Here is a 6,498-nt window from a genome sequence, read left to right as displayed (position 1 = left end):
TTACTCGTAATGCCTAGGAAATTGTGGTTTCACATTGCTTCTAGCAACCTTCACATTGCCTTCTAATGTTTGCATGCTTTCTCAATACATCAAACAGCAAATTTTACCCTATTTAACTGCAATATAGTATGGGAAGTTTAATTAGAAACTTATTTTCAGAAGCAGCCCTATTGGAGAGGATTGCTTAAAAAATAGCAAAAAGACAGGAACTGCCTTCCCTCCCTTGACATTAGTTTGCCCTGAAATACATATTAGCATATACCCTGCATCTGAAGATAAGCAGAAAGAAGAGATTTTGTTAGCATTTTGTTCATGCCAGGAGTGAGGCTGCAGCACTTCTATCATTACTGTTTTTCATTTTAATTTTGAAATACCACTGGCAAGTGTGCTTGTTGATAGGGGGAATATTTGAACTTTTTTGACTTTTAGAAATTGTGAGGTTTCCTTAGTCAGGAAACACTGAATAACTTTGGATTTTTCTAATACTCTGATTTCAAGATGAAATGAGACAGGAACCTGAAAAAGAAGTATGGTTAAGAAATTATTCAGTCTATATGGAGCCAATTATTAGAGATTGGGCTAATAGTGGGAAAAGGATGTCACCCCCATCTCTAAGACTCAGATAATAGCTCTTCAAATCCCACAGGTCTGTGGTGTTTTCAAAGGGAAGCAACGAGCCCTCAAAGCTGGTTGTCAAATATTTCACCACATGGGAAGCTCCAAAACTGGACACCTGAGATTTTGATCAAGACTGGTCTTCTGGAAATATCAAGGCAGAAATCTTCTTTATAATTTGATTTACATGACTTAAGATTCTTTGTGTGGCACAGCCTGCCATGCTACTGTTAAAGATTTACCTAGCTTGGTAGCTTTTTATGCATAAATGTAGGTCTGGGTGGAGATAATTAAGCCTTTAAGCCAACTTCAGTGTCTTCCTGTAGTGACTCAACTTTCTGTTATCCTAACGTAATCCTAGCTGAGCACCAGCACTTTATAAGCCCTGGAATTTTGATCAGTAGTAGAGGTGGGGGCCAAAGCTAAAAGAAAAATTCATGAAAGCCGAAGAAGGATATCAGTCATTTTTTTGTTTTGCTCATGGCCTGCCCCATTTCTCGTGTAAATTCCCAGCGTCTTCTAAAGGGAGATCTGGATTACGTTGGGGAAAAAATACTCTATCCAATGAATCTTTGCCTTGGAATGCTGATAAAAATGTCTGAGTGCTTTTTAGGCTGTGATAGGGAAAGTTCAAATAGCTTAATAGCACCGGTGCTTTCCTTAGACAGTAGGGATTGGGCTTCTCCTTTGCTCCTTTATGCCCATGTCAATCTAACTATATACAATGACACGTAGCAGCAGTCATGTGTTAGGGGGCTGCTTGGATGAGATGAATCCTCTGCCCACACCTTTCCAAGTGGCTCCTGGCTTCCCACAGGCATGTCAAGCTGTGTATTGGTAATTAACAGATGGAAACATGGAAACATGCTTCCAATCCCAGTTTTAACGGGGCATAAACCCACAAAAAGGATGGCTGAACTTTCTCTGGATGGTTCCTCAGGGCAAAGCTTCCAAGACACATAGTATCAGAGTATGCAGGGTGGCAGGCTGCAGGTGGAGGTATCCAGATTCTCTAGTACAAAGAGGGCTGGGGGAAACAGTGACTCTGGGTAAAATAAAGAGCTTCCTCACTGCTGAAAACAGGTGAGGAGAATTAGGTGAAGCCAAAGAGAAAGAAGGAATCCAGGGGAAGTTTGTTTCTCAGAAATGAACAGAAAGTTAGATATCCCTGAATGACCCTGGTATCCCTAGTATCCAGAAGGCACCAGTGCTGGCTGCAACAAAACATTTAAGAAGTTTTTCTCAACACCCCCTACCCTTTGTTTTTGCTCAGCTGGCAGAGTCTTCCCTTTAAATTATCAATTGGAACAGATTGGAACTTCTTGTTTGGAAAGTGAAGGTAAGAATGAAAATGAATTCCTAAAGATTAACGATTAGTTTAAAGAATTTCATTCTCTTCCTCCCTCCCTCCATCCCTTTCTCATCCCTCCCTCCCTTCCACCCTCCCTTCCTCTCTCTTTTCCTCCCTCTCTTTCTTCCTTCCTTTTTCCCCTCTTTTCTTCCTTCCTGTCTTCTTTCTTTGCTTTCTTCTTTATCTGTTTTGGTTAGAAAAAAAAAAATCCATACCCAAGGGGAGCAGAACACTTTTCAGAAATACCAACATGATTTGGGGACCTAAGCATTGTTGCTTTCCTAGATGCCCCCTGAGGAATCTACATCTAAAATTTCCTCCAGGGATGTGTTCCCATCAGTACTACCCTTTGTTACATGGAAGAACCCTTGGACTGAATTCTCTACTAAAATTAAATAAAGATTTTCACTGAAAACATGCACATGGGGAATGCAGAATGTGTTTCCTATTAAGGCGTTCTGAAAGAAGCCTAGAAAAAAAGCCCATTGTTTTTGTTCATCAGCGCTGCCACCAAGTGTGGAGGAATCACAATGGCAACCCAGTCCAATCCAAGGAGAACATAATCATTAAAAGCTTCTTCATTTTCTTGACTCATAAAGCCCATCAAAAAGATAGACAAAAATGCCAGAGTTAAGCTGGGAAAATATTTGGAAATTGTGCTGACATCATCAGAAAGAGGGTCCTTGTGGCTTTCACCCAGATGAGGACTAAGACCAAGTAAAATGACATTTCAGTCATCAGCCTGGCTAAAAAGTGGCAGAATACTAGGGTGACATGAGAGCTATTTGCCTAGGGTGCAAACCCTCATGAGTTTATAGATGCTGTCCTTGAAATTTGCAAGTCCCTGAGCATAGATTAACAAACAGGAACACTCCATGCACCAAGTGTGCACCAAATCTCATCTTAGTAAGTTTTTGAGGTGTTTTCTTTTTTCTTTTTTTCCCTTTGAGACAGGGTCTCCCTCTGTTTCCTAGGCTGGAGTTCAGCGGCACTATCATTGCTCACTGCAGCTTCGACCTCCCAGGCTCAAATGATCCTCCCATCTCAGCATCCTGAATACAATTTTGTTGAACCTCTTTAGATTCCCTGGACTGTTTTTAACACCTGCTATAAGCAAATTGGGGAAAAGAAATCCTCATCTTCCTTTACCCCTCTTTTCTTACTCTTATTATTTTTTCCTCCCCCGTCTCTCCCTTCTTTCTTTCTCTCTCTTGCTCTCTTTTTCTTGCTCTTTTCACTCTTTGTTTCTCTATGCAGTATTTGTAGAATTGAAATTAATTGTGCTGTCTCCAAAATGAGTACCGTTGTGGGGGTCTGTAGCCTCTGGCTGAATGGCCCTGAAGTTCCTGGTTTCATTACAAATATCTGTACTTTCTTTCCTGCTTCATGAAAGCAGTTCTTCTTTAGAAATCCGTCAAGCAGCTCAGCTTTTCTTAGTTTTTCATAAACTGTCCAGCTTTCATTTATTCTCTGTAAAGTTACCTAAGTGGTCAGGCTATGTTCTGTCTGATTGCCAAGAGGACAATGAAAACTCAAAAGAAGAAAAAAAAAATCTTAATTAGAAGTCCTTTGGCTGAGCAAAAAGGAGGAGAAATATTCTTCCTTCCAGAAATCTGAGGACGTAACCTGGTGACCATCTCTTAACAAGAAAACAATCTGTCTCTATGACAGGTAGGTGCATGGGTCACTCTGGAGAAACACATCTCTTGGAGCCCTGGTGTTGGGGGAATGTATGTGAGTGGAGGGGAAGGTGGAGCTGTGAGAAAGCCACGGAGAGATTGCCATCAGCAGACAGATGCTGGCTCACAATCATCACAGAACACTGGAATGTTGACTGCACCAACTGGGAACTTCAATCACAGTATTCACTGAAGCATGAGTCTTCAGTGAGCAAACAAGCTGATCCTGTGCCGGTTGGGAGAGGGTGGGATGATTCTTGGAGTTGAAGGAGAAGCCCTAGCCAGGAAGAGATCTGTACTTCCAGGAATAAGGCCATAATGCTTGTTTGTTTTCATGATCCAGTTTAGAGATTAAGATCATTCATGTGCCAAGTGACAAAGCTTCAGGATACCCAAGGAGCAGGAATGCTGAGCCCATACCACAAACAACATGAGGGGACATTTGTACTCTAGGCCAAAGCATTATTCCAGGATTCACAATTACTGTATGAACGGTTTGTTGGAAAATTGCAGCTAAAAGCAATGTTCATAATTATTGAAGTAGCGCTATGACTATCTTTTCCAAGTTTTATTACAGAATATTGCAAATCATCTTATGTTTCCTAAGGGAACAAACACTTTAGAAGGTCATGTAATGGGGTTATTAAGAAAAGGAGAAAAAAAGGAACACAATTTTGTACTGCTACAATGCCAATTCTCCAAACTCAAAGATATTTAATGTTTCACAAATCCTTATAACCACCCCATGAGGTTTTATAGAAAACTTCAAAGAAAAACCTTTTCCTTGGTCTCATTTTTTTTTAAAAATAGGAAGTTCTGTTTTCAACTATTAAGTGCATGCAAGGTTCTGGTCCTAGTCCCAGATATCAACATAGTGGACTTACTTGGACTTGGACAGAAAGTGAACTCTCCATCTATTGACATTGCATAGAAATCTATTTGGTTCAACTCCTAAACTCTAAGACTGAAAATCACTGGAAGAAACCTCTAGGTTGTATGCCTTAAGCTCAGTCCTTAATAGACTTACATGGGATGCAGACACACAATGTCTCTAGTCATATTCAGATTAAATTTGGCTATTTTGATTATTGAATCCAAGGGTGTGATCAGCTCTGAATGTCCCATTCTTTAAAGCCAAGGGACTATATATTTGCTCCAGATGAAACTATTCCAAGTGGAGCAAATCTAACATTTTAAGATGTTGTCTATACAAAAACAGATAAAGAAAAAATGCAGGCAGGCAAACTATTGGCCTCTTTCAGATAAAACCTCCTCTTTTCCAATAAACTATTGGCATTAGTGAAGGCAGTAAGCCTGTTCATGTGGGTCTTAATAGGCTAAACCACATTTTCTCCCATGTATCTAAATGGGAGGAATTTTGAACAACAGAGTTCCTATTGAATATTATCAGATAAATGATAACAAATATCTCCCTTCCTTCCTCCCTCTGTCTCTCACCCTCTATTTGTCTCTGTCTTTCTATCACTCACAAATCATACATACACACCAATTTTTGTTCTTGCTTATTTATATATCAAAATGTTCTAAGAAGACTTTTAGAAGACTTTCGAAAGTACTTGCAAAGAGATAATAAGAGAATCAGAAATCCTGGTGAAAGAGTTTGTCTCTCTATAAATTTGCTTTTATCTGGATGTTGTACATGAATGGTGTCTAAGTCCATATATATATTTATATATATATACACACACACATATATATACAGTATATGCACACACATATATGGTATATATATACACACATATATACAGTATTTATACATATATACAGTATGTATATGCATAGATACACAGTATATATATGTGTATATATATACTCTATATATACTGAGTATATATATATACACATATATGAACAGTATGTACATATATGCATAAAGAGTATATATAGAAAAACAGTATATATATAAACAGACTTAGACACCATTTATATAAAACCATATATATATTTATATATATATACACACTATATATATATAAAAACTATAACACATATAAAACATATATATAAAAACTATAACAAAATATCATAAACTGGGTAGCATATAAACGACAGAAATTTATTTCTCGTAGTTCTGGAAGCCAGGACAGTACCTCCAAGATTAAGGTACTGTCAGATGCAGTATCTGGTGAGGGCCTGTTTCCTGGTTCATAGATGGCACCTTCTCACTGAGTCCTCCCATTATGGAAGTGGTGAGAGGTTTCTCTTGGGCCTCTTTCACACAGGTAACAATTCCAGTCATGAGGGCTCTGTCCTTATTATTTAATCACCTCCCAAAGCCACCACCTCTTAGCATCAGATTTTTGACTAGGTTTCAATACATGAATTTTCAGGGAGTGCAACAGTCAAACCATAGCAAATAGAATCGTATGATAGGTAGGCTTTCATGTCTTGCTCCTTTCACTTAGCATAATAGCTTTAAGGGCTATTCATGTTGTAGTAATTACCTTTACATAACAGTAATGTGTTCACTTTTATTGCTCAAATTCCATTTGATGGATAAGCAACATATCCATCAGTTGATTGATAAATACTTAGATTATTTTTCCAGTTTGGGATATTATAAAGTGTTGCATGTATTTTATACATTTTTATCAGCTAGTCCTTTGCCATGTTTTATATTCATCTGTTCTCAATCTTATCTTCCTTCATATTCACTCTTAATATATTTGTTTTAAAACTTTTAATATATTTTACAGATGTTGTTTCTTATTCTATCTCTCAGAGACATAAAGGTCCTTTTAAAAATTATGTTGAGTAGGCTACCATTTCATTCTCTCAAGAGTCATTTCATCTCTTACTTGTTTGCTGTTATTCACTTTCTTTTGTTAATTT

Source organism: Homo sapiens, chromosome 20, assembly GCF_000001405.40.
Source record: "Homo sapiens chromosome 20, GRCh38.p14 Primary Assembly".
Classification (NCBI taxonomy): Eukaryota; Metazoa; Chordata; class Mammalia; order Primates; family Hominidae; genus Homo; species Homo sapiens.
The sequence above is the reverse complement of the archived record's forward strand: the minus strand, read 5'-3'. Positions refer to the sequence as shown.